This window comes from Homo sapiens, chromosome 9 (assembly GCF_000001405.40).
Source record: "Homo sapiens chromosome 9, GRCh38.p14 Primary Assembly".
Lineage (NCBI taxonomy): Eukaryota > Metazoa > Chordata > Mammalia > Primates > Hominidae > Homo > Homo sapiens.
This window is the reverse complement of record NC_000009.12, coordinates 67829586-67856898: the sequence shown is the minus strand read 5'-3', so window position 1 is coordinate 67856898 and position 27313 is coordinate 67829586. Positions and strand designations below refer to the sequence as shown.

Below are 27313 nucleotides of genomic sequence, written 5' to 3'. Positions count from 1 at the left end.
TCCCATAACACAGAAAATTGAGGGCCCAGAGGACAGTTTTATTTTCATATTTGACATCTTCTATTATTTTTTATAGAAGGATGATTTCAGTAGTAAAATTTTCTTTCAATTTTCTAGGTTGTCTCTGAATCTTACTGGGGTTCCTTGTCCTAAACCACATTCAGAAATTTTCACGACCGACTTCTTATCTTTGTCATACCAGGCCAATGAGGGACAGCATTCCTGAGACTTTTTAAGTACTTTGTGTGTGTGTGATGGTCTAATAATCATAGCCTTAAAACTTTCTGGCTGGGCATGGTGGCTCACACCTGTAATCCCAGCACTTCAAGAGGCCGAGGCGGGTGGATCACCTGAGGTCGGGAGTTCGAGACCAGCCTGACCAACGTGGAGAAACCCCAACTCTACTAAAAATAAAAAATTAGCTGAGCATGGTGGCACATGCCTGTAATCCCAGCTACTTGGGAGGCAGGAGCTACTTGGGCTGATGCAGGAGAATTGCTTGAACCCATGAAGTGGAGGTTGCAGTTAGCCAAGATCACACCATTGCACTCCAGCCTGGGCAACAAGAGTGAAATTCTGTCTCAAAAAAAAAAAAAAAAAAAAAGAATCTCACACTTCTGGGAGACACTGAATTTGTGAATGTGTACAGCATATCACAATAACTTTTCTTTGAGACCAAGTCTCACTCTGCTGCCCAAGCTGGAGTGCAGTGGCCCATCTCAGCTCACTGCAACCTCTGCCTCCCGGATTCAAGCAATTCTCCTGTCTTGGCCTCCCGAGTAGCTGGGATTACAGGTGCTGCAACCATGCCTGGCTAATTTTTGTATTTTTAGTAGAGACAGGGTTTCACATATTGGCCAGGCTGGTCTCGAACTCCTCACCTCAGATGATCTACCCGCCTCGGCCTCTCGAAGTGCTGGAATTACAGGTGTGAGCCACCATGCCCAGCCAGAAAGTTTTAAGGCTATGATTATTAGACCATCACACAAAGTACTTAAAAAGTCTCAGGAATGCTGTCCCTCATTGGGACCACAACACCCAGATGATTTTTTTTTTTTTGTAGAAAGAGGAGCCTTGCTATGTTGCCCAAGCTGGCCTCAAACTCCCACCCTCAAGAGATCTGCCCATCTCGACAACCAGAGTAACTGGTTCTACAGGAAAATACCACTATCCCATGATAATTATATTTTATTAATTTTTATTTGCATAGACAGGAGGTCTTGCTATGTTGCCCAGGGTGGTCTCAGACTCCTGGACTCGAACAATTCTCCCATCTGTGCCATCTGTGCCTCCCAAAGTGCTCCCAAAGTGCTGACGCCACAGGCATAAGCCACTGCACCTGGCCCGACTTAAGATGTCTTTAATCTAGCATCCCATACTTCATATAATCAGGAAAAGCAGTAATGTTTTTTTTTTTTTTTTAATTACTTAGTATCTCAACAAGAATCAACCATCTCTCACCATTGCCAGGACCCTGGTCAGAACCACTATCATCTCCTACCTGGATGTTGCCACAGCTTGGCCTCCGTGCTTCTACCCAAATCTTCCCACAATCTTTCTCAACTCAGCCACCATGGGATGCTTTTAAATCAATAGACAGTTCGTGTCACCTCTCTGCTCAGAACCCTTCCGCATCTCCCATCTCAGCATAAAAGCCAAAGCCCCAGCAATAGCCTCCCAGGGCTTGCACAATCTGTACTGATCTGAGTCCCACAACTCCCTGGCCTCCTCCCCTACCTTCTCTCCCTCTCTCTGCTCGACAAGCCTCTTTCCTGAGCTTCAGACACACCACGGAGTTCCCTCTTAGCACCTTTATTCTGTTGTTTCTGCCTACAATGCTCTTCCCTCAGTACCTTGGCCAGCTCCTTCCCCTCCTTCAAGTCTTTGCTCAATTTTCACTTAGGAGGCCAACCCTGACCACTCTATTTAATATTGCTATGTGTCCCCATTCCTGCCATGCTCACTCATTTCTTTTTACTTTTTTTTTAAGATATAGTCTCGCTGTGTCACTCAGGCTGGGGCACCATGGCACGATCACAACACACTGAGACCTGGAACTCCTAGGTCAAGAAATCGTCCTGCCTCAGCGCCTCTAGTAGCTAAGACTACAAGTGCATGCCACTACACCCGCTAATTTTTTTTCCCCATGTAGACAGGGTATCACTTTGTTGCCCAGGCTTATCTTGAACTCCTGGGCCAGAGCAACCATCCTGCCTCAGCCTCCTAAATAGCTGGAATTATAGGTGTGGGCCACTACCCCTGGCTTCATGTTCATTTCTTCTTGCTGCTGTTACAAACTACCCTATGTTGAGTGGCTTAATACACCACAAATCTACTACCTAACAGGTCTGGGGGCCAGAAGTCCAAAATAGGTCTATTAAGGCTAAAGTCAAGGTGTCAGCAGGACTGCATCCCTTCTGGAGTTTCCAGAGAGAAGGTGTTCCCTTGCCTTTCCCAGTTCCGAAAGCCACCCCTATTCTTTGCCTCATGGCCCCTAACTGCATCTTCAAAGCCAGAAGCAAAGCATATTCAAATCTCCCTCTGTGACCTGTGCTTCCATCATCAAATCTCCTTCAATTCTGACTCTCTTACCTCCCTCTTTCACTTATAAAGACCTCTTGTGATTGCTGGACACAGAGGCCGGGGCTCACAACCATAATCCCAACGGTTTAGGAGGTCAAAGCAGGAGAAATGCTTGAGGCCAGAAGTTCGGGACCAGCCTGAGAAACACAGTGAGATCCCCCCCCACAATTAAACAACAAAAAGAAATAAGAGAAAATTAGCTGGGCGTGGTGGTATGCATCTGTAGTTTCAGCTACTTGAGAGGCTGTGGTGAAAGGATTGCTTTAGCCCCAGAGTTCAAGACCAGCCTCGGCAATATAACAAGATCCCATCTCTACAAAAAAATACAAAAATCAGCTGGGCATGGATGGTGTGCACCTGTAGTCCCAGATGCTTGGAAGGCTGAGGCGGGAGAATTGCTTGAGCCCAGGTGGTTGAGGCTGCAGTTAGCTACGACTGCATCATTGCACTCCAGATTGGGTGAAACAGAGACTCTGTGTTCAAAAGAAAAAGAAAAGAAATACACATTTGGTTTCTGCCCCTCGTCCTGGCACAGAGCTTCTCAAGTTCTTATAAAGGCCTTGGTGATAAAGGTGATAGGACCATCTTTTGTTTGAATATTTGGTCTTAGTCCCAGGTTTCTAACAGAAGAGCCTCTAAGACCTTTGGGATCACCATAGTAAGAATGCATTTGGTGATGTTACTGAGATGACTGGGTGACTGAAAGCTCCTAGACAGCTTAAGAAAAAGGGCTGGTTGCCAGAAGAACAAACCATGTGATTAGAGGCTTGGAACTGTCAGCCTCACCCACTGGGCTCCAGGAAGAAATAGTGGCCGAAGACTGACTTAATCACCAATAGTCAATGATTTCATCTATCATGCCTGCCTAAAGAAGCCTTCATAAATGACCTCAACAACCAGATTTGGAGAATGCCGGGGTTGCTGAACACAAGGGAGATAGCAGGAAGGTAACACGCGCAATAGAGAGCATGGAAGTTCTGCACCCCTCCCGACCTCCCGACACACCTTGCCCTGTGGTTTTTTTTTTTTTTTTTGAAACAGGGTCTGGCTCTGTCCCCCAGCCTAGAGTGCCGTGGCACAATCGTGGCTCACTGCGACCTATGCCTCCCTAGCTCAAGCCCCATCTCTCATCCTCTCACCTCAGCCTCCTGAGTAACTAGAATTATAGGCACTGAGTAGCTAGAACTATAGATCACTGCACCTGGCTAATTTTTAGAAAAACCTTTTTGTAGAGATGTGTTTTCGCCGTGTTACCCAGGCTGGTCTTAATCTCCTGAGCACTTAAGCGATGCTCCCGCCTCAGTCTCCCAAAGAGCTGAAATTACAGGCATGAGCCACTGTGCCCAGCATGTACATCTCTTTCACCGGCTGTTTCTGAGATATAGCCTTTAAAATGAACCAGTAAAAGAAAGTAAATTGGTGAGATGCAGTGGCTCACACCCATAATCCCAGCATTTTGTGAAGTTGAAGTGGGAGGATCATGTGAGCCCAGAAATTTGAGACCAGCCTGGGCAACATAACAAGACCCCTTCTCTACAAAAAATAAAAAAACTTAGCCAGATATGCTGGTGCGGGCCTGTAGTCTCAGCTATTTGGGAGGCTGAGGTGGGAGGATCACTTGAGCCCAGGAGTCCCATGCTACAGTGAGCTTTGATCACACCACTGCATTCCAGTCTGGCAACAGACTGAGACCCTGTATCTCAGAAAAAAAAAAAAAAAAAAACCTGTTTTTCTGAGTTCTGCAAGCTGTCCGAGCAAATGATTCCACCCAGCAACGGGGTCATGAAACCCTGTTTTCTAACTGGTCGGTCAAAACTACATGTGACAACCCAAGACTTGCAATTGGCATGTGGAGTGAGGGTAGACTCCTGGGACTGAGCCCCCATCCTGCGGGGTCTGCACTAACTCCAGGGAGTGTCAGGATGGAATTGTGGGATACCCAGTTGGGATCCAGATTGTCTGAAAATCAGTGTAGAAACTCCACATGCACATTTGGTTAGAGGTGTTTAACCATAACTACTATTCACGAAAAAGGTCTACTCATTACAACTGAAAATCATAAAATTGTAAGTTCTACAAAAATAAATCAACCTTATCTACTGCCCAGTCCTACCAAACTACAGAATGTGAGAACAGAAGGTCTGACCGTGGACTCGAGAACTGACATTAGGAATGTCACCACCATCCTGCTCTCCAAGGACTCCTCATCTTCAACAAACTCCTCATCTTCAATGGGCAGGGTGGAAACTGCAACTTGTGCCATGATCCTTGCACAAGAAAAGTAGTAAGAAAGTGAGTGGTAGAAATCCAGTGTCCTAAACTCACATCCAGAGCTGTGAGAGTTTTTCACCGGCTGGATAATTCACAGTTTTCTTGAATCAGGGGAAAAATAAGACTCAGAAACTAGGAATTCGTTTTGCCCAAAACTCTCATCAGATAGAGAATCCATCCACTAACTTTCTATCTAGTATTATTTCCATAAGTTAGATCAGTATCACTCCCAAAACAAATGCACATGGCACCCAGAATCTGCGCATTTCTCCCAAGTAAAAGAGGAGGTGGATGGGCGCAGTGTCTCATGCCTGTAACCCCAGCACTTTCGGAGGCCAAGGTGGGTGGATCACTTGAGGTCAGGAGTTCAACACCAGCCTGGCCAACATGGTGATACCGTCTCTACTAAAAATAAAAAAAATTAGCCAGGTGTGGTGGCACGTGCCTATAGTCCCAGCTTCTTGGGAGGCTGAGGCAGGAGAATCGCTTGAACCCAGGAGGCTGAGGTTGCAGTGAGCAGAGATCTCAGCACTGCACCTGAGCCTGGGTGACAGAGTGAGACTCTGTCTCAAAAAAAAAGGTGGGGGGAGGAGGCAAGGCACTTTACAACCCAGTGATGGGCTACCACAACTCAACACAGCAAAGAGGTGCCAAGCTCCCTTTCTCCCCTGCACAACCCGACACAGAAGAGTTGGTGCAGTGGAATGAGGTTGAATGGAGAGAAGTTCCTCTTCTTTCCATTTTTTTTTTTTTTTGAGATGGAGTCTCACTCTATCACACAGGCTGGGTGCAGTGGCGCAATCTCGGTCACTGCAACCTCCGCCTCCCAGGTTCAACCAATTCTCTGCCTCAGCCTTCCAAGTAGCTGGGATTAGAGGTGCCCGCCACCACACCCAGCTAATTTTTGTTTGTTTGTTTAGTAGAGACTGGGTTTCACTATGTTGGCCAGGCTGGTCTTGAACTCCTGACATTGTGATCCACCTGCCTCGGCCTCCCAAAGTGCTGGGATTACAGGCATGAGCTGCTGCGCCCAGCCGAGTAGTTCCTCTTCTTACTGAGAAAATGGATCACAGGGCATCAAGTAACACATAAAATTCTTTATAATAAGCAGTATTATTTTTGGAAAACCTTTCCTAATATTTTGGTATCAGCAAAAACCCTCAGATTAATTTCAAACACTATAAAAATACAGTACATAAACAGAAAATATTAACTGTCAGCAATGCTATAGAGAAATTGGAAGCTGTATGCATTGCCTTTTGGAATGTAAAATGGTACAGCCCACTGTGGAAAATGGTTTAGCAGCTCCTTAAAAATATTAAGCACAGAATTATATGATCCACCAACACCCTTTAAGTGTATATACCCAAAATAACTGAGAGCAGGGACTCAAACAGGTATTTGTACACCCGTTTAACAGCAGCATTATTCACAGTGGCCAAAAGGTAGAACCAACCCTAATGCCCATCAGTAGGTAAATGGATAAAGAAAATGTAATATATACATACACAGAGTATTATTCAGCCATAAAAAGAAAAATATCTGGCCAGATTCAGGGGCTTACACCTGTAATCCCAGTATTTTGGGAGGCCAAGGTGGGCAGGTCTCTTGAGCCCCGAATTTTGAGACCAGGCTGGACAACATGGCACATTTGGTCAGAAGTGTTTGACCGTAACTACTATTCAAGAAAAAGATCTACTCATTAGAACTATAAATCATAAAATTATAAATTCTACAAAAACAAATCAACCTTATCTACCACCCAGTACTACCCAATTACAGAATGTTAGAACAGAAGGTCTCACCATGGACTCAAGAGCTGATATGAGCAATGTCACCACCATCCTGTTCTCTGCGGACTCATCTTCAACAGACTCATCTTCAACGGACTCCTCATCTTCCATGGACTCCTCATCTTCAATGGGCAGGGTGGAAACTGCAGCTTGTGCCATGATCCCTGTGCAAGAAAAGTAGTAAGAAATTGAATGGTAGAAATCCAGTATCCTAAACTCACATCCAGAGCTGTGAGAGTTTTTCACTGGCTGGCAAATTGTTTTTTTGCATCAGAGAAAAAAACAAAACTTGGTAACTTGGTATTCGATTTGCCCAAAACTCTCATCAGATAGAGAATTCATCCGCTAACTTTCTATCTAGTACTATTTCCATGAAGTTAGATGAATATCACTCCCAAAATAAATCCACGTGGCAACCAGAATCAGTGCATTTCTCCCAAGAGGAGGTGGCCAAGCGCCCACATCTGTAATCCCAGCATGTTGGGAGGCCGAGGTGGGTAGATCAGGAGGTCAAAAGATTGAGACCATCCTGGCCAACATGGTGAAACCCTGGTCTCTACCAAAAATACAAAAAATAGCTGGATGTGGTGGTCTGTGCCTATAATCCCAGCTACTTAGGAGGCTAAGGCAGGAGAATCACTTGAACCAGGGAGTCAGAGGTTGCAGTGAGCCGAGATCGTGCCACTGCACTCTAGCCTGGTGACAGAGCAAGACTTCGTCTAAAAAAAAAAAAAGAAAATAACAGTAAAATACAAAATGTCTTTTTCTCCTAACCTTCTTAGCCTTCTGCTGGTACTTCAATTTCTGCTGGTACTGTTTGGTCATTGCCCTCTAAAGAATGATGGCTTCCTAAAAAGAAAACAAACAACATATAAACCAATAAAAACTCACATTGAAAGATAAAAAATAATCTAGGTGACGATGCAAGCACTTTTAAGACATAATAGGCCAGGTGCAGTGGCTCACACCTGTAAACCCCGCAGTTTGGGAGGCTGAGGAGGGCAGATTACCTGAGTTCAGGAGTTCGAGACCAGCCTGGGCCAACATGGTGAAACCTCATATCTACTAAAATACAAGAAATCAGCCAGGCGTGGTGGCAGGGGCCTGTAATCCCACCTACTCGGGAGGCTGAGGCAGGAGAATCACTTGAACCCAGGAGACGGAGGTTGCAGTGAGCTGAGATCGCGCTGCTGCACTCCAGCCTGGGTGACGAGAGTGAAACTCCATCTCATGAAAAAAGAAAAAAAGACATAATAAACATAAAATATGATTCTATTAACTCTATTAATCCAAATAACGTTTTCTAATTCAGAAGAAATATATAACATGTCTATTTGGTAGCTTAAAAACATTCTTTTAAAATACAAATACAGTAGACCCAAGTAGGCTTGGGGACTTAATATTAGTTACTCTAGCTACATGATAAAATTACTGGATATTGGAATCTGAAGCAGCACAATTATGCTTCAAGTACCATGCTCATCTGTCACTGACACACACACACAAGTGTGAATGCCTGCTTTGCTCAATTAACTCTGTAAGTAAGTTCAGGATTTGCTGTGGAATGTTCCCTGCTTTCCATTTTCACTATGGTGAAAGTTATGGAAACTCGATCCCCATAATTTAAGCAAAGTTGTACTTAAAGTAACTCATATGTAAAAATTTAAGATACTACCTTTAGTGTCAAAAACATTTTAATCCAAGTAACGTAATCTGCCTGCTTCTAAAAACTGGCATATAAAGCAACAGATCTGTTAGGCAGTCACAAGGTAAACAGGCTCATCCTACTGGAGCAGAAGTTTTACTCACAAATATGAAAGAAATAATCTAAAATATCAGAGTGCCACTTAGGATTAAGACCACAAACTGCCCCCAGTACACATCCTCTGTCCTTAAAGATCTGAGCTACTAACATGGAAAAGATTGAAAAACACTGTCTTCAAGTATAAATAAAAATATATTACATTTCGGTAAGAATACATTGTTTAGGGGGAAGGGAAGCAGATGCTCATCTATTTTGTCCTATCTGTTGATAACTAAATTCAGAAGCTGTACTAAAAGTCAAACAAAAGTTATAAATACATCTCAATTTTTAAAGAGCAATGATTACAGTCAGAAAAACTCATTTGGTGGCTAGTATTCTTGAATTAAAAGTGCCATACCAAAGTGAAATCTTTTTGGTTTTCAACATCTAGCTTTTTCATGTCACAATTATTTTGGGATTCTTTTCCACTTACTGCATATTGTGAAAACTCACCTGAACTCAAAACTCTAGGTAAATCTATAAACCTGTATCTCAGAATCCACCTTTAATTCATTTGTAAAATACACTTTCTCTGCACACATTTCCTCTCTCTTCTTTTAACCGTAATATTTGGATTTAGGGAGCATCAAGTTCCTTGACTGTAAAGTCAACGAAAAAAGAGATATGAAGTCAAAAGAATGGGAGATAATGAACAAGAGGCCAGTAGTTAAAAAGTAAAATTTCAATAAAGAATAACAGTTAAGATGGTCGTTCATGTTATTACCCAAACACTAGGGGTTTCGTCCAGGTCCTCCTGCTCATCGGAGAAAAAGCCAGTCACTGAGGTGACAAGTACTGCCAAGGAAGAAAGCTTTAACCTGGTGCTGCGGCCCAGGAGCTGGGAGCTCAGTCTCAAATCCATGGGCTTGACTAATAGGGGCAGGAAAAAAATTTAACAATGTATAAGAGAACAGAAATTAGGGAGGGGCAGGAGGCATGTGGTGCTGTGATCTGGTATGTTTCAGTTATCTGATACTTCCTGAAGGTCTTTTTTTGAGGAGAGAACTCAGATACAACAGATCCAAGTTTCAAGCTTTAACAGCAGGGTCAATTTTGACGTTCATCCAAAAAAAACCCATCCATTGGGACAACAGGGCCGGTGTCAATGTAAGCAATGATTCTGTAGTTCCTCTTTGTTCTTTCAAAATCTGAAATAAACAATTGAATTTATATTATATGCTAAATCTAAAGAAAATACATCTTGTTGTACTTGAGGCCAGAAGAGATAGAAGTAAGGCAGTCAAGTTTGGGAACATTATACAAAATTCAAAAAAAGTAATAAATGCATAAAACTTACAGAGTAACAAGTGCTATTTCAGAATTCTTCTAAATACTAAGTATTGACATGACCTTATCAATATTTGCATTACTAACCATACAATAAGAACCTGACTTCTGACTGTTCTGAGATAAGGGATAAATGTGTACTTTACCTTAAATGGGAAAGTGCATCATGTACCCACTTCGAGATTCACAACAGGGAAAACTGATTTGAAAAATTGTTGCTTGTGAAGTTCATTTATATGTTAAAAAAAGGCCAATACATTTTCCCTTTTCCACATAGAAAAGGAACACTATACTTATAAATACTAAAACACAGTCTGTGGAATACAAAGAACCAATAGAAACAGTATGTAGGAAAATGGAAGTGAAAAGATTATACATTGCAAAGACTTCAGTAGAAGGAGTTTTTCATCAACATCATCAGTTTCAGAAGGGCCTGCTTTGGGATACAAAGACAATACTTCAACAGTAACTCCCCCAAGCCAGACGCAGTGACTTATGCCTGTAATCCCAGTAATTTGGGAGGCCAAGGCAGGCAGTGAGGTCTGGAGTTCAAGACAAACCTGGCCCAACAGGGTGATACACCGTCTCTACCAAAAAATACAAAAATTAACCAGGTGTAGTGGCATGCACCTATACAGTCCCAGCTATATGGGAGGCTGAGGCAAATGTACTCATTTTTTCATTCCTGCACCCAAGAAACTGCAACCAATCTACTCTGTTAAGAGCAGAGATAAAGGGTTTAGACTCCATATTACATGTGAAATAGAAGAAATGAATCAGTTTAGTATGAACTTGTATGCACTTTTGGAGAGGAAAATAGGTCAAGAAGCCATTAAGATACATGAAGGAAGGTCAAATCTTAAAGAAAACTAGAAATTCAGATTTATTTACATAGCTCTAGAAGGAAGAACCAGGAATAGTGGAGAATGAATGTAGAAAACATTTTTAGTGAATGAAAGCATGAGATGATAACACAAGCAGCCACCAATGGAACAAACTGATGTGCAACAGCGGATTTGCCGTCACTGAAGCTATCCAGTTTCCAACTGTTGCAGGTATTACAGAGCTATTGAGAGTTTTAGTAGGCGGCTGGGGTTCCTTTCAGATCTGACATGGCATGATGCCAAAATGCTGTACATGTTCTCATCTTTTTCTGGCTCATTTTTTTTCTCTCTTCAGGTTTCTTAACCTTTTATCTACTTCCCTCTATTAATAATCACCTAAACCATACACTCAGTCTTCTGAAGTAAATTTCTTTATCTTTCCCTTCACAAATAAACATCTTTGATGGATGAAAACACCGCAGGAAAGCCACCTAAGCAGATATGACTTCTCAACTTTTTTTTTAAGTGATTTCCATTCATCACTAATTCCAAACAAAACAATTACAAACTATCATAAAATTATTAGAAAGTGAAAATGGGAAGCATTGGTTAAATATGTGTTTAGTATGCTTCACCATGTCCTCAAACATATTTAAAAAGTTAATCCACACTTAAGTGCATTGGGGGACTTGCTTTAGATTAAGAAATATGTTAACTATTTCAGGACACTAAGGACCTTACAAATCTGAATTAGCTCAGATTGGCTGCTATCTCCTCAATTATTTTCTGATAAATAAGAAACAAACAGTAAATAGCAACTTGCAGAAAATCTACCAGTAGTACACAAGGGCAGCCAAACTTCAAAATTCTTGCCACTCAAACTCTAGACGGTTACTATTTACTAAAATGTAAATAATAAAAAGACTTTTCTCAATCTTGTCCTCCAGAAAGAAAAGCCATAAAGTTCAAACACTAACCAAAAAAAGGGTAAGGAGAAACGTTTATATATTGGCGTTCCTTTTATTAGTGTCTTCACATACAACACTCCTCAATTTTAAACACCACTTTCTTTCAGAAGACAAAACCAAGACAAAATGGTAGAAATCAAAGGGTTACAGACTTTGATTTAAAAGGCATAACCTTTTCAAAAATGAGAGCTATCGATGGATCACTTCTGAGAAGAAATTCCCTGGCACTAGGATAGAGGTTGGAAAACCATCTTTCCAGGTGCTCTAAAATAGAATCCTCTCATAGTGCAAGAGTCCTTCTAATTCTAGGGGTCTAGGATTATTTTTATTATTATTGTTACCTTTCCCGTTCTGGAAAATCCTCAAGACTCTGTCTTGTAAATGTCACCAACCCAGTAGGTTCTACAGAAGCAATAAAAGAAAAACATACCCAAAATAAGTTTCAATTTTGAAAACATTATACACACACACGTGCATGCGCGCGCACACACACTCGATAAAAGAATAGGTCTAACATTGACTATAAAACTAACCAGGAAATACAAAGCCTAGCATTGGAAAATAACAGAATATTGATTGAAAATATTATCCTTACAGTAGAAACTCCTATAAAACAGTAAGACTTCACTAAACGAAACTATACAAATAACAGCACAACAGTAGGATTTGAGTGCTGGTACTTTTTGGTAAAGTTTTGAAGCTGAATACACTTTTAAAAACAAAACCATTGGAAAAAAGGATGTATAACTGGTACAGCTTATGCAGTAAAGACAAAACTGAATTCAAATTTGTAGACTCCTTTACAAAGAAAGGACTTAACCCTACATTCAAAGACTGGTGAATAAAGACACATTTATGTACTTTGTAGTAAAGTGAAATGCCACAGCTTTAAAAAGAAAATCATTTGCACATCCTCTGAAGTTAGTAAAGCTAAGTTTCAGGCTTAGATAGTGGGCAATCACTCTACTTGTTAGTAGCAGTCTTAGCCAGAGAAGAAATTACTGGTTCTAAGAGTTTACAGAATAAAGATGACATATTTTTCAAGAAGCAATACATTTGGGAGGATCAAAATGGAGTAGTATTAATGTAGTCAATAATTTTAAGAGGATGAGATCCTTTTCTAGTCAGATTTATTTATTTTTTAAAGCTAGTAGCAAAAGAAACAAATATATCAGCTGGCCAGAAGTAATTTGTCTGACTCAAATCAAAGAGCAAACTAAAAAGGCCATGCCATTTCTGTTTTCTTGAATAGAAAAAAGCTCTTAAGGAAAGAGAGAGATGTCAGGAACTATTACTGATGACAGTGTATAACCCAGTGAAAGCCTGGCCATCATTTCATTCCTATGCACAATTCCACATTTCCTTGTTCTCAGTCAAAAGCAGGAACCACTCAAAAACCATACGGAACAGTTGCAGAAGAAAACAAAATTTTTTGTTAACATAGGTCTTACATTCTTTAGATATCTAACTTTAAGATAAACGGATAACATATTTAAAACTCACGAGTAAGTGGTCAAACAACTCTAACACTAGAGATGCAATTCCATGAATATAATAGAAAACATCTCTCTTGTCATTCGGTAACTTAGCAGAGAAGTAAGAACACCAAATGTCCTTCATATATACTAAGAGATGCTAAGAGAAATTCGTAAACACTGCTGGCAAAGCAAGAAAAGGCAGAAGAACATGGTTTCTCAGATTAACAAAAAATGCCTTGAGAGCATGTCTGTTAGCTTTCTTTTTCATAACAAGGCAACTTTCATCTCAGAATAGGATACTCTGATTAATCAAATACTTCCCATAATAAAATCACAATATATACTACATACAGGTCATAAATTTTCAAAAATCTGATCTATAAGATACTTTATCTAAAACTATATAAAAAGTAATTTAATTCAGAAGGCTTTTTAAAACATTTCAGTCTCAAGATCCTCATCAAATATAAAATACACGTTTAACAACACTGAAAAGTTGGTCCTGATGGAATTCTATTTTATCAATTCTAAAAGGCGGGTTTTTCCACATACTACATTTCTGAAACTGGAATACATCTTTTATAATGGAGGTATCTTACCATAGGTCTAGACTAGAGGAGAATTTTCCCAGAGAAGATGTGCATCTGCTTCTGCTGTCATCTGGGAACACTATCAGCCCAACACCATCTGAATTAATCCTTTGTGGCAGGCCTTTGTGGACCACACTGGTGGTAAGGCTGCACACCCAAAGCTTAGGGCTTGTGGTTCAAATTCTCAGAGAAATGTTTTTTTCTTTCTCTATTTAGTGTCAAGGTTGAGACTTGCATGCTTCTTTATGGTCCCTTTTCTGGATGGTCAAGTTAATTTCTCATTTATCCCTAGGTGTACCAGCCTTGTGGGTTAGGTCTCCTACTAAACTCCCTGTCCTGAGTGTTTTTTCCTTCTTAGAGGTATATAATGTAATAGCACTTTTTAAAAATAATCTATGACATCTTAGATTCGATGAAATATGGTACCTTAAATAAGCTTCTCAAGTCTATTGAGTAGGCTCCAGAACTTCTACACAACGACTCATTATACTGCAACCTCTTTTATTCTCTTTAGGATTTCCTCTTTAAACCGTTAGCTTTACATACTGCAGACCAAGAGCAATGTTGTACTGTATTTCTACAAAGAACTTAATTAACATGTACAGTAAAAAAGTCAGAAAATAAAATGTCTAGTTATAATTTATTTCTTCAAATTCCAAATACTTATAATGGCATATACATTTCTAGTTTAAAAAACAAACTTTTAGCTTTTTCCTCAAAGTATCTGAAATCCTAAAATGTAGAAAGCCAAGTTAGTTTTTAGAGAAGACATACATGATTTGACTCCCAGGACAAAAAAGTAAACTCTGTACTACTTAGTTATAACAATTCTACTTAAAACGGCAACTCAAAGTACTGTAAAAACAAAACAAAAAAGACCAACAGTAATAATTCTACTTAGACCTAGAATAGCCAAAAAAAAGTAGTCTTTTTTTTTTTAGACATAATCTTGCTCTGTCACCCAGGCTAGAGTGCAGTGGCACAATCTCAGCTCACTGCAACCTCCACTTCCTGGGTTCAAGTGATTCTTGTGCCTCAGCCTCCCGAGTAGCTGGGATTACAGGCTCCTGCCACCACGCCTGGCTAATTTTTTTATTTTTTATTAGAGACGGGGTTTCACCATCTTGACCAAGCTGGTCTGGAACTCCTGACCTCGTGATCCACCACGCCTGGCCTTACGTAGTCATCTTTTTAACAAGTCATTACAAATTCTAATTTGATTTTGTGTCTCATAGGTCCAAATGATTCTGCATTTTAATATTTCATTCAGTACAGGGCACAAAACTGAAATTCAATAAGCTATGAGATAAATAATTCCGTATCAGAGAAGCATATAATGTTCCCTTAAATATTAAAATCCTGATAATTGATTTCATTCTAAAAATTTAACAATGTCCAATAGCAATACATTCAAGGGGGAAGATGCCAAGTACACTGTCATGCAAGAGTAAAAGAAGGATATGAGAAAAATGACCTTAAAATTGTTCAAAGACATGTTTTAAGACAATCCTACAACCCAGAACTGAAAAAAAGCCATTTCACTTGACCAGGTTGACATTACCTACTTAGCACAAAGAAACTTTTAAGGTGTTCTGGTTTACATCCACTTGTAGGAAAGGCTACCCATTGATAATAGCTTACATTTATTAAGCATGTATCTCCTTGTTTAATATCTATAACTACCCTGTAAGATAATAACCATTATTATATTATTTCATAGGTGATAAAACTGAAGCTTAGAGGTGTCAAGAAACTTGACCACGGTCATTCAGCTTCTGAGATAAGAGTGGCAATACCAATCTATTATCGGTTGGTCATTACCAGTATTTGTTGGACATTTACTATTACTGCCTCAGCTGCTTTCAGGTTTTGGGGAAGCAAGAATGTTAAGGTTCAATAGAGGAAGATGGATATAAAACTCAGTACAAAACAGTTTTATGAGAACTCCACAAAGGGCTTAGGGGGGCGCAAAAGAGAGGAATGGGTAGAAAAGCAATGCGTTAGTTGACTTATACAAATAAACTAGTGAATGCTTCTTTAAATAAAGAGCATCCAAAATTTATTTCCTGGTCAATATAGTTTCTCTGGTTTTTATTCATGAAAATGTTTTGATGTATAGAATATGTGTCCGATTTCAGAGTATGTAAACCCCGCCCCCCTACATTTATAGCACACATTTATGCTTATACACAACACAAGCATAAAACCGAAGTTACCTTGTCGCATCATTACTGTTTCAATGTAGTTGGGACAGGAAGGTTTACGTTAAACACAAAATGTTACTCACATGTCACTTGACTTGAACTGTTCCCATCAGCAAGAAAAATTACTGCAAGAATGAAAGGAGTTCACTTTTCTCTGTGACTGTTCCAAAGAAGCGGAAGAGCATTTTAAGTTTCTCCGGTTTCCTTGATGAATGTCCCTCAAACAACCTAAAGGACTTAAAAAATAAGAGAATGGAAGATGAGTTAAAATGCCTTAATGATTCAGAAAACTACATCCATATTGCTACCAAGTCACAAAAAGAAATAATTGTTCCAGAAGACAATTCTGTAATGATAAGAACTAGAAAATTGGTTTAGATTCAAATGGCATCTGGAGAGAACTGAAATCAACTAGAACCAGCCTTCTTCAAAGCTGTTCAAATCAGACAGCATTTGCTACCAACCACATTTCTCCAACCTATCTTCCACCACAGAGAAGGCACCATCTAGCCCTCCCAGTCAATTGGGGTCAGTCAGTGCACAGCTACTTTCTCAATGGCTAATAACATTTATAATTCATAATGTTACTACGTAGTTTGATAAGTAACAATAACAGTATCTGAAAAAAATCCTTATCTGAGTGTTTTTGAGGAAATGAGAGTGGAGGGGAATGGGGGAAGGACACAGGCAGGTATAACAAGATATCAGGGCTCAACAATCCTTGTTAATTAAACAACTAGTTTCTTTTATGGACTGAATGTTTGTGCCCTCTCAAAATTTATATGTTGAATCTTTAATCCCTAATATAGCTAAATTTGGAGACAGGGCCTGTGAGGAGGTACTAACAGTTAAATGAGGTCATGGGGTGGGACTCTAATCTGATAGAACTGGTGTCGTTTTAAGACAAGGTGAGACTACAGTACTCTCCCCTTTGCCATGTGAGGACAAGATGCCAGCCAACCTATAAGCCAGGAAGAAAGCCCTCATCAGGAACCGAAGCAGCAGCACCCTGATCTACAGCTTCTAGCCTCCAGAACCGTGAGAAAATTAAGCCACCCAGTTCTATGGTATTTTATTATGGCAGCCCAAGCTGACTAATAGAGATCCTTTGCACGGTAACCAAAACAGTGCCTACCCTGTGTCATCTAGTTTTCAGCAACCCGGACTTGGATTACTTAATTCAGTTTCCTTTGAAATGATGTGGCATTGTTATTGGTAACATGTAATTCAGTTTATTCTGAGGAAAGAAAAACAGGGCTTTAAAAGCATTATGACCTGAGTAAGTAGTTCACTAAAAGATTTGTAACACAAAAGCATGCTTTTGAGTATGAGATCTAGCTTTCCAAAGGCATTTAAAAATTATAGAGACTCAGTGGCTATGAATGATGAGGTACTCTTCATCTGCCTCTAGCCATGTGCTCTGACTTTAAAACCAGAGACCCTTCAAGTAAAGTCCACGTTAGTAAGTGCTGAAATGGGTAATTATTTTTCATGATTACAACAGCAAGCTTATGTAACTACGCTGAGAGGGAAAAGTTAATTCCATGAGAAAATCCTATTGAGCGACTGAAATAAATTAGGAAAAGGAAAGGAAATGCAGATTTCAAATGGTTCCGTTTTCAACGATCTGAAATCTGTATTCAAGGCCAATTTCTGGAAAAACAATTTATGTGAATATTTATTTCCTAGAAAGAATACTAATGTAGGCTAGTATTTTAACCAAATCTAAAATCAGATCTCTTTTTTAAAAGTTTAAGACAGCCTGTGTGATAATTTTTATTTATTTAAAAGAATCTGTCTTCTAAAATATTTAATACACATCTCTTATAATCCAGTTGCTAGTTGAAACAGGGTACAGGTTAAATAAGATAGTATTTCTAAATGGATTCTGAATGGATTAAAACTCAATAAAATGGACATTTTATTGAGTGAATGGAGAGATCTAATCCATCTGGCAAGTCAGTTAAGAGAGCTTCTGCTGCCATTTTTATTGACATGTAATAGTGTAATAAACTCACACGTAATACTGTAAAGCTCTGTAAAAAAATTTTAACCTAGCCTATTTGTTTAAAGGAGATGTTAACAATTCATGCTCCCTTGAACCACTTCATTTTTGCTTTTAGGACAGGACTGTTCATTAACACACACAATCAATTACTAAACACAATTACTGAAATAAATATTATCAAGCAGTAACCAAAAAATTCAACGTAAGGCTATCATACCCAAACTCCAATATCCAGAAGCCAATTTAAGTAACCCATGCCTCCTTGGCAAAAGTGTATGGATATTACCTTTTCCTTGTGATAGTAAAACCTATCCATTTTCTTACATCACCCAAGTATCAGCTTTTACACTTCTACAAATAAAGCAGACAATGAACATACTGTGTAGAAATCTTGAGCCCTTAATTAAAAGGTACTCACAGAGTTGTATCTAAATCATTGGCTACAATGATCTAAAACACACACACAGTTATATCTAGGTCATTTGCTACAGTGATCTAAACCACTTCATTTACATCTTAGTATTAATCACAGGACAAAAACGCTAATATTTTCAGAACTACAGCCAGTGTTGCTATCTGCCACAGGCAACGTGTCTTCAAAACCCCTTGATACTATGTGTTTGCCCCCAAGTAAATAGGAGGGAGATCCAGGCGCCCCTTCCAAAAGCAACAGCTTAGAGGAGAGAAGGAAAATCAAAGATACTGAGACGATTCATTTTAGCCAAAAGCGAACCTGCCACCCCAAAGAGCAAAAAACAAAATCTGAAAACTAAGATGTATGTTATTATATGTTATTCACAGAACTTATTTGCAATATTTTTAAAGAAAAAATTACAAAACCGTGTTTCTCAAAATGTTACAATAAAATTTTATGTGTGTAAAGTCTATCTATTTTACGTGTACATTTGTGTGTGTGTAAAAGAGAGGGGATTATGAATTAGGAAGCGTATGTACCAAAACATTAGAAGTAGTTATCCTTGGGTAATGAGATTATGATTTTCACTTTCCTCTTTATACCTTAATATATCATCTCCAAATTTACAATCAGAATTCATTATAAAGCTATTGCATTTTTATTTATTTATTTATTTTGTGAGACATGGTCTCACTCTGTCACCCAGGCTGGAGAGTGCAGTGGTGCGATTTCAGCTCACTGCAACCTCGGCCTCCCAGGCTCAAGCGGTCCTCCCACCTGAGCCTCCTGAGTAGCTGAGACCAATCAAAGTTAAGTTTTCTTCGGTTTAAAGTAACTTGTTATGTTGTTTAGCCTCATGGTAACCAGAAAACAAAAATCAACAGACACTCTAAACATAAAAACCAAGGAATTAAAACACTACCAGAAAAAATTACTTCACTACAAATAAAGACAGGAAGAAAGGCAAGGAGGAAAGAGAAGAAATAAAAAGAGATCAGAAAGAAAAGAGGAAGGGAGAAAGAACAAAAGAAAAAGCAAAACAATCAAAAAAGTAAAAAATGGCAGTAGTATGTTTTTATCTGTAATAATCTTGAATGTAAATTAAATTAAGACAGAGTGGCTGAATGGATTAAAAGACCCAATTATGTCCTGCCTACAAGGAACTCAGTTCACCTATAAAGACATACACAGACAAAGTCAAGGGATGATAAGAGATATTCCATACAAACGGAAACAAAAAAAGCAGGAGTAGCTATACTTAGATAAAATAGCCTTTAACTCAAAAAAAGAAAAAATAAAGATAATTATATAATGAGAAACAAGTAAACAGCCGTTAAGTGCATATGCAACCAACACTGAAGCACCTAAATATAGATGCAAATATTAACAGGCTTTAAAGGACAGAGGGACTGCAATACAATAATAGAGTACCTCAACACTCCACCGTAATCAACACCCCACTATCGCGAACGGACAGATCATCCAGACAACAAAACATCATCAGTTAAACTGTACTCTATACAGAATGGACCTAACAGACATTTACACAGCTTTTCACTCTGCAACTGCACAATGCTCATTCTACTGAGTGGCACATCGATTATTCTACAGGACAGACTGTGTTAGGCCAAAAAACAAGTCACAACACTTTTTTTTTTTTTTGAGGTGGAGTCTCTGTCTCCCAGGCTGGAGTGCAGTGGCACTATCTCGGCTCACTGCAAGCTCCGCCTCCCGGGTTGACGCCATTCTCCTGCTTCAGCCTCCGGAGGAGCCGGCCACCACGCCCGGCTAATTTTTTGTATTTTTAGTAGAGACGGAGTTTCACCGTGTTAGCCAGGATGGTCTCGATCTCCTGACCTCGTGATCCCGCCTCGGTCACCCAACACATTTTTAAAAACTGAATTCATATCAAGTATCTTTTTTGACCACAGTCGAATAGTATTAGAAATCAGTAACAGATAGAACTTTAAAAACTGTACAAATACATGGAAATTAAAATACACGCTCATGAACAACCAATAAAAGAAATGAAAAAAATACAAGGGAAATTAAATATTTATTGAAACAAGTAAGAATAGAAACACAACATAAATCCTGTGGGATGCACCAAAGGCAATTCTAAGAGGAAAAGTGTATAGCTATAAATGCCTGCATCAGAAAAGTAGGAAGATCTCAAATAGCCTGACAGTACACCTCCAGTAATGAGAAAAACAAGAACAATCAAATGCTAGAATTCGCAGAAAAAATACCATAAAGATTAGAGAAGAAATTTTAAAAATAGAAACAAAAAATACAAAAAGTCAATGAAACAAAAGCTGGGGTGTTTTAAAAAAAATCAAAATTGACGAGTTTTAACTAGATGAAGTTAGATAAAAAGAAAACAAAGTCATAAAGAAGGCATTAGAACTGGTAACCCAGAAATACGAAGCATTAAAAGATTACTAAAAACATCACAAACAAATTGAAAAATCTGGAAGTGAATACATTTCTAGACACATAACGAATTCCCAAGATAGAATGATAAAAAATAAAAATAAAAAACCTGAACAGACCAATAATGAGGAATGCAATTAAAGCAGTCATAAAAAGTCTCCTGGCAAAGAAAAACACAAGAATCATGGTTTTCCTGCTGAATTACCAAACATTTTAAAAATAGCTAATATCTATTTTACTCAAAATATTCCCCATAAAATGAAGAGGAAGAAAGGCTTCAAAACTTGTTCTATGAGGACAGCATGACCCTGGTACAAAAACCAGACCAGAACACAACACAAAAAGGAAACCACAGGCAAATATCCCTGATGAACAGAGGTGTAAGAAATCCTCAGCAAAATACTTGAAAATTGCATTTGACAATGCAATAAAAAGATCATCTTCCATGATCAAGTGGATTTCATTCAACCCAGGAATATGAGGATGATTCAATAAACACAAATAAATATGCAACATCACATTCAGCAAATCAACAACAAAAACCATATAATCATTTCAGTAGACGCTGAAAAAAATAAAAGTCAACATTCCTTCATGATAAAAACTCAACAACATGAGTACAGAAGACACATATCTCAGTGCAATAAAGGCCATATATGACAAACCCACAGCTAACATAATCAAGAAGGAAAAGTTAAAAGCTCTTCTCCTCTAAGATCTGGAACAAGTGTGGCTACTTTTACACCACTTTTGTTCATCATAATACTGGAAGTCCTAGCTAGAGCAATTAGGAGAATGCAATAAAAGGCATCCAAATTGGAAAAAAGGAGTCAAATTGTCTGTTTCCAGGTGACATGAACATATATAGAGAGAACCCTAAAGATTCCACAAAAAACCTACTAGAAATAATAAATTAGTCAAGTTCCAAGATACAGTATCAAAATATAAAAATGAATACTACACCCATGCACCAATAGTGAAATATCTAAGAAAGAAATCGAGAAAGCTATTTCATTACCAAAAAAATGATATCTAGGAATAAACTTAACCAAAAAGGCAAGAGATCCCAAAATGAAAACTTCATAAAACATAGATGAAAGATACTAAAGCAGACACAAGTAAATGGAAAGATATCCCATCTCTATGCACTAGAAGAATGTTAAAATATGTGTATCACCCAATGTGATCTACAGAATCAATGCAATCCATGTTCAATTACAAGACATTCTTCATTGAAATAGAAAAAGAATCTCAAAATTCACATGGAAGTTCAAAATACCTCAGATAGACAAAAGAATCTGGAATAAAAAGAAAAGCTGGAGGCATCACACTACCTGATTTCAAAATATACTACAAATTTATAGTAAGGATGGTACTATCAAAACAGTATGGTACTCTCAATAAAAGGGGCGGGGGAGAGACAAGAGAGATGAACGAATGAGACAGACAGACATAGACAAGTGAAACAGAATAGAGAAATCATAAATAAATTCACGCGTTTACGGTCAATTCATTTTTAACAAAGGCCCCAAGAACACACCTTCGGGAAGGACAATCTCTTCAATAAACTGTACTAGGAAAACCCAACACCCACATGTACAAGAATACATCTAGGCCATTACCTTACCATATACAAAAATCTACTCAAAATAAAAGATTTAAATACAGGACCTGAAACTATGAAACTACCAGAGAAGAAAACATAGGATAAATGCTTCATGAAATTGGTTAGGACAAGGAATTTTCAAATAGACATCAAAAGCACAAGCAACAAAAGCAAAGATGTAATTACATTAAACTTAAAACCTTTTCCAAAGCAGAGGAAGCACAATCAGTATAATGAAGACAGAACCCGAGAATGGAAGAAAGTCTTTGCAGCTATGCATCAGGCAAGAGGTTAATACACAAAATATCTAAAGAACTCAAACTACTCAAAAGTGAAAATACAAATAATCTTATTTTTAAAAATCTACCCAAAACTTTTGTCCCCCACTATTTCCCCACCTTCTTTTCCCGACCGCATTTCGCTCTCTCCCTCTCACCACCCTTTCTCTTCCTCCATCTACCCCCAAACGTTTTCACCGTTTTCATCGTTTTCTCCCCACCATCATTTCGTTTTCTCCCCGCCCCCACCCCCGTCATTTCGCAAAGCCTTCTCTATTCTCCCGCTCACCACGCTTTTCCCCAACCATCTACCCAAACACTTTCTCCCGTTTTTTCCCACCGTATTTTCCCCCTTCTCCCTGGCCACCCTCTTTTTTCCCCCTCCTGCTGTCATCATGCCCTTTTCCTCCTCCATCTAAGCAAAAACATTTTCCCCCCGTCTTTTCCCAAAGCCTTTTCCCTACTCCTGCTGCTCACCACCCTCTTTTCCCCCTTTATCTACCCAAAAACTGTTTTCCTCATTGTCTTTCCTCCTGCTCCTCCTTGCCACTCTTTCCCTTCTCCATCTACCCAAAAACATTTCCCCACCATCTTTTCTCAAAGCCTTCTCCCCACTCCTGCTCACCTCTCTCTTCCCCCCATCTACCCCCCAAAATTTCCCCATCTTTTCACAAAGTCTGCCCCCTCTTCCCACTCGTCCTCTTCTCTCCCCTATCCTGCTTGTCACCCTTTTTTTTGCCCTGCATCTATCCCAAACTATTTTCCCGTCTTTTTCCCACCCTTCTTTCCCTGCTCCCTTCTCGCCACCCTCCCTTCTCCTCCTCGTCACCCTCTTTCCCTCCTCCATCTACCCAAACACTTTTTACCTACCGTCTTTTCGCCACCATCTTTCTTTTCTGCCACTGTTTTTTCGCAAAACCTTGTCTTCCTCCCGCTAGTTACCCTTTTTCCTTCTCCCACTTGCTATCTTCTTCTGCTCCTCTATCTACCCAAAAACTTCTCTCCCCACTGTCTTTTCACAAAACCCTCTCTCCCTACTGCTAGCCCATTTCCCCCACCTCACCACTCTCTCCTCTCCCCAATTGCCACCATCTTTTCCCCCTTCATCCACCCATAAACTTTCTATCCACCGTCTTTCTGCAAAACCTTCCCTCACTCCCGCTCCACACCCTGTCTTTCCACCTCCATCTACCCAAAACCTTTTTTCCCCACCATCTTTTCCCCATCGTCTTTTTGCAACGCCTTCTCCTCCTCGCTATCCTTTTTTCCCTTTGGCAATAACCAAACTCTTTACCCACCCCTCTATCTATCCCAAAACTATTTTCCTCTTCCTATCCCTCCAGCCGCGCGGCAATCGCAATCTCCACTGCCACCACCAACCATAGCGAGGCGAGCTGCGCCGCTGTGCCGTGTCTCAAGCCTCCAGCATACGGCCGGTGACTCCTTTTCCTGGTCCTCTAAGCTGGGCACTGAGCAGCTCAACAGTAAAACACCGAACCCTAAAAAAAAAAAAACCGTAACAGTTTTTCAGCATCATTTATATACGGAGGTTATGCGCATGCCGGTTCCTAGACTTCATGTTCTGATTGCATGAGAGCAAGTCTTAAAATAACCAATCACAGCATGAAAATAAAGTCCAATCAGAGTAGGCCTAGAGGTTTTTCTCTCATCCAATCAGAACATGTAGTCCAGGATCCGTAACTTCAGTATATAAAGCGTGCTGAGGAAGTGGTGCGTCATTTTTGGGTCTTCTGTGTCAGTGTGCTCAGCTGCTAGGTACCTGGGTTAGAGAACTAGAAGGGTCCATTAGTTTTCACCCGCTGGAGCCTGGAGCCTGGAGCCTGGGGCGCTGCCTCCCTGTTGGTTGTGTTGGTGACGGAGCGGTAGGAGGGAGGCTAGCAGCGGGAGCTTCTCCTGCCGGGCTGGAAGACGAGGAGAAGGAAGAGACACCGCTGCATGCTGGAGGCTGGAGCCAGAGCCTGCGCCTCCGTGGCTTACCTCGCTGCAGCTGTTGGTGACATCAGAGACCACAACTCGGCTACAGTGGTAGCAATGTGGTTGCAGTGAGCCAAGATTGCATCACTGCTCTGCAGCCTGGCGACAGAGCAAGACACCATCTTAAAAAAAAAAATTGAACACAGTGTTTTGCATCTGTTTCAGAAAAACAAATGATACCATTATTTAATATGCTGCAGTAACTAGAAGCCTACTTATAAAGTTGGTGGCAAATAAGTCATTGGTATATGTTAACTTCCTATAATCACTTACATGTTCCTAAGAGTCACTTTGTGTATTTATATAAGAAGGTCAGCATGTAAATGATTACAGAGAAACTTTTTGTTGAAAAGTAAGAAAGCTTGTCTCCCTTTTCCTAGTTATGAAGGAACCACCACCACAACAAAATAAAGCATACACTTTGTTTATAACCCTGAATCATGATTTATGGCCAGATTATCCTAGCATCCAACTGCCTACCTTGGCATTTATCAGTTGAAATGAGTCCAGAGAAAGAATTTATAACAATAAGAATAACTGTTAGAATGCCAGTCCTATCAAGAAATGTTAGAAATATGTAAGCAAAACTCAAAAGTAAATATCACTGTTTGTCTAACCATATTCCATGCATAGCTTCTACTAGTGTTCCCCAGAATTGTCTGTTTTATCATTTCTCTTGACTTTTGATACTTTTATTCATATATCCTCCATCCTCACTTAGTCCTTACTGTTTGTACTTCGGCATCATATCAACCCTATCTTGCCACTTAAAAGACAAAGTAATACTACTTTTTCAGTTTTTTTTTCATTTAATGTAAGAAGTTATCATTTCCCCAATAGTGAAATGATGCAAAATGATTATTTCATGTATTGTCCAAATGGGTTCAGGTTTGTGACAGTCTCAAACGCATCAGGGAGTAGGGACACCCTTCAGTTAAAGCACCAAGTTGTATTTTAATCTGTATTTTATTTTTAAAAAAGATTTTTTCTCAATATCACATAAACATTAAGCTTTTTATTTTACCTCTCTATTTACTTATTTACACGATTTAAGATTGAACATTTTTCGTTATCAAAAATATTTTCATAATATGTGTAAAATTGTTGAAATCTTAATTTTTCCAAAATGACAGCTGACTCCTCTTAAAGGTAATGGGAATCTTAGAATGTTATTTGCAAGTCAGTCTACAGCATTATTTTCATACATAAAATGTTGTGTACTAATTTTTGAAATATTTGTAAATTAAATAGGTCATTTTTCTTTCAGGAGAAAGGAGACTTTGAGAGATTTTTGTGCAGGAGAAGAGTAGTTTTAAAAATAGGTAGTTTGCAATAGGGCAGACTAGTTTTAAAATTCTAAAATGAGAACAAGTCAATAAGAGTCTCTTGATTAAATCTAGTGATCTTATTATTTATTTATTAATTGACATGTAATAATTGTACATATTCATGGGGTACAATTTGATACCTGGATACCTATCCATGTTGTATAATGATCCATTCAGAGTGAATCTATTATCTTACATATTTGTCATTTCTTTGTGGTGAGAACATTCGAAGACAACTCTTCAAGCTATTTTGTAATATACGATATTTCACTGTTAACCATACTTGCTCTACATGCAACAGAACACCAGAATTTATTGCTCTTATCTAGTTGTAATTTTATACCATCAATCAAAGTTTCCTCATCCTTCTTTTTGTCCTCCTGTCTTTAGTCTCTGGTAACATTTTTCTACTCTCTGCTTCTATGCTATTAACTTTTTAAAATGTTTGTATTTTCTTTTTTTTTTAGACTCCACTTATGAGTGAGATCATGCTGTACTTGTCTTTCTGTGTCTGGCTTATTTCACTTACCACGATGTCCTCTAGATTCATCCATATTGTCATAAATGGCAAGATTTTACTTTTTATGGCTAAAGAGTACTTCATTGTATACAGATAGTGCATTTTCTTTTTGCATTCATCTGTTGCCAGACACTTAGGCTTATTCTGTATCTTGGCTATCATACATAGTGCGCAATAAAAATGACTAGGTGCATCGCAATTAGCTTTAAAAAGATGGAACGGCATTGTAAGGACAGACCATGAATCTAAGCCCTTAGGTTGAATACTTAGGTTGAATAAAATTGTTGGAAGAAGTGGCTATTTGATGTATGTAATGAAAGGGATTCTTACATGGCAGGTATTATTAGGAGAAAAAAAGAGAGAAAGTTGAAGGAGAGGGGAAAACTGCCACAGCAGGTTAAGCAACTTGCTTTGAAATAATTGGGATTAGTAAGTGTGCAGAGATAGAACTGGTGATGAAAGAGTGAGACTGGAATTAGAAAGTAATTTGTAATACTAATGTTGCAGGTTGGGTCCTGGTTATGAGACTAAGCAGATGCTCATTCCTTGGAGCTATAACTGTGACCAGTGCCACATTAACAGATTTGGAAAATATGAGATTAACTATGAAGGTACAGAAAATAAAGGTATTAAAATTCTTTCTATATTTTAGATCTAATTGTTAATAATATGGTATATACACATCCATACTATATTATATATATATATATATATATATATATATATATATATATATATATAACATATGTATGCGAAAAGAGATGGTAAATAGAAAACATTAGCTGGGCATGGTGGCTTACACCTATAATCCCAGCATTTTGGGAGGTGGAGGCAGGAGGATACTTGAGCCCAGGGATCTGAGACTAGCCTGGGTAATATGGCAAGACCATGTCTCTACAAAAAGTAAAGAAAAGTAGCTGGGCCTGGT

General features: G+C 39.1%; 1 long non-coding RNA gene across 4 annotated transcripts; it reads right to left on the bottom strand.

Moving 5' to 3' along the window:
• Positions 1–1637: 1637 nt before the first annotated feature.
• On the bottom strand, positions 1638–24101 carry LOC101928608 (uncharacterized). Of its 4 annotated transcripts, XR_007061900.1 has the most exons (9): positions 23923–24101; positions 15886–16038; positions 11872–11932; positions 9176–9599; positions 8905–9050; positions 7422–7496; positions 6660–6811; positions 4730–4850; positions 3019–3056 (listed from the first exon to the last, which is right to left on the bottom strand). It is a non-coding gene; the product is annotated as an uncharacterized LOC101928608 (long non-coding RNA). The 4 variants fall into 4 exon arrangements; XR_007061899.1 differs by having other exon boundaries at positions 1638–4850; positions 7658–9050; XR_001746695.3 differs by lacking the exon at positions 3019–3056 and having other exon boundaries at positions 4247–4850.
• Between the last annotated feature and the right edge of the window lie 3212 nt (positions 24102–27313).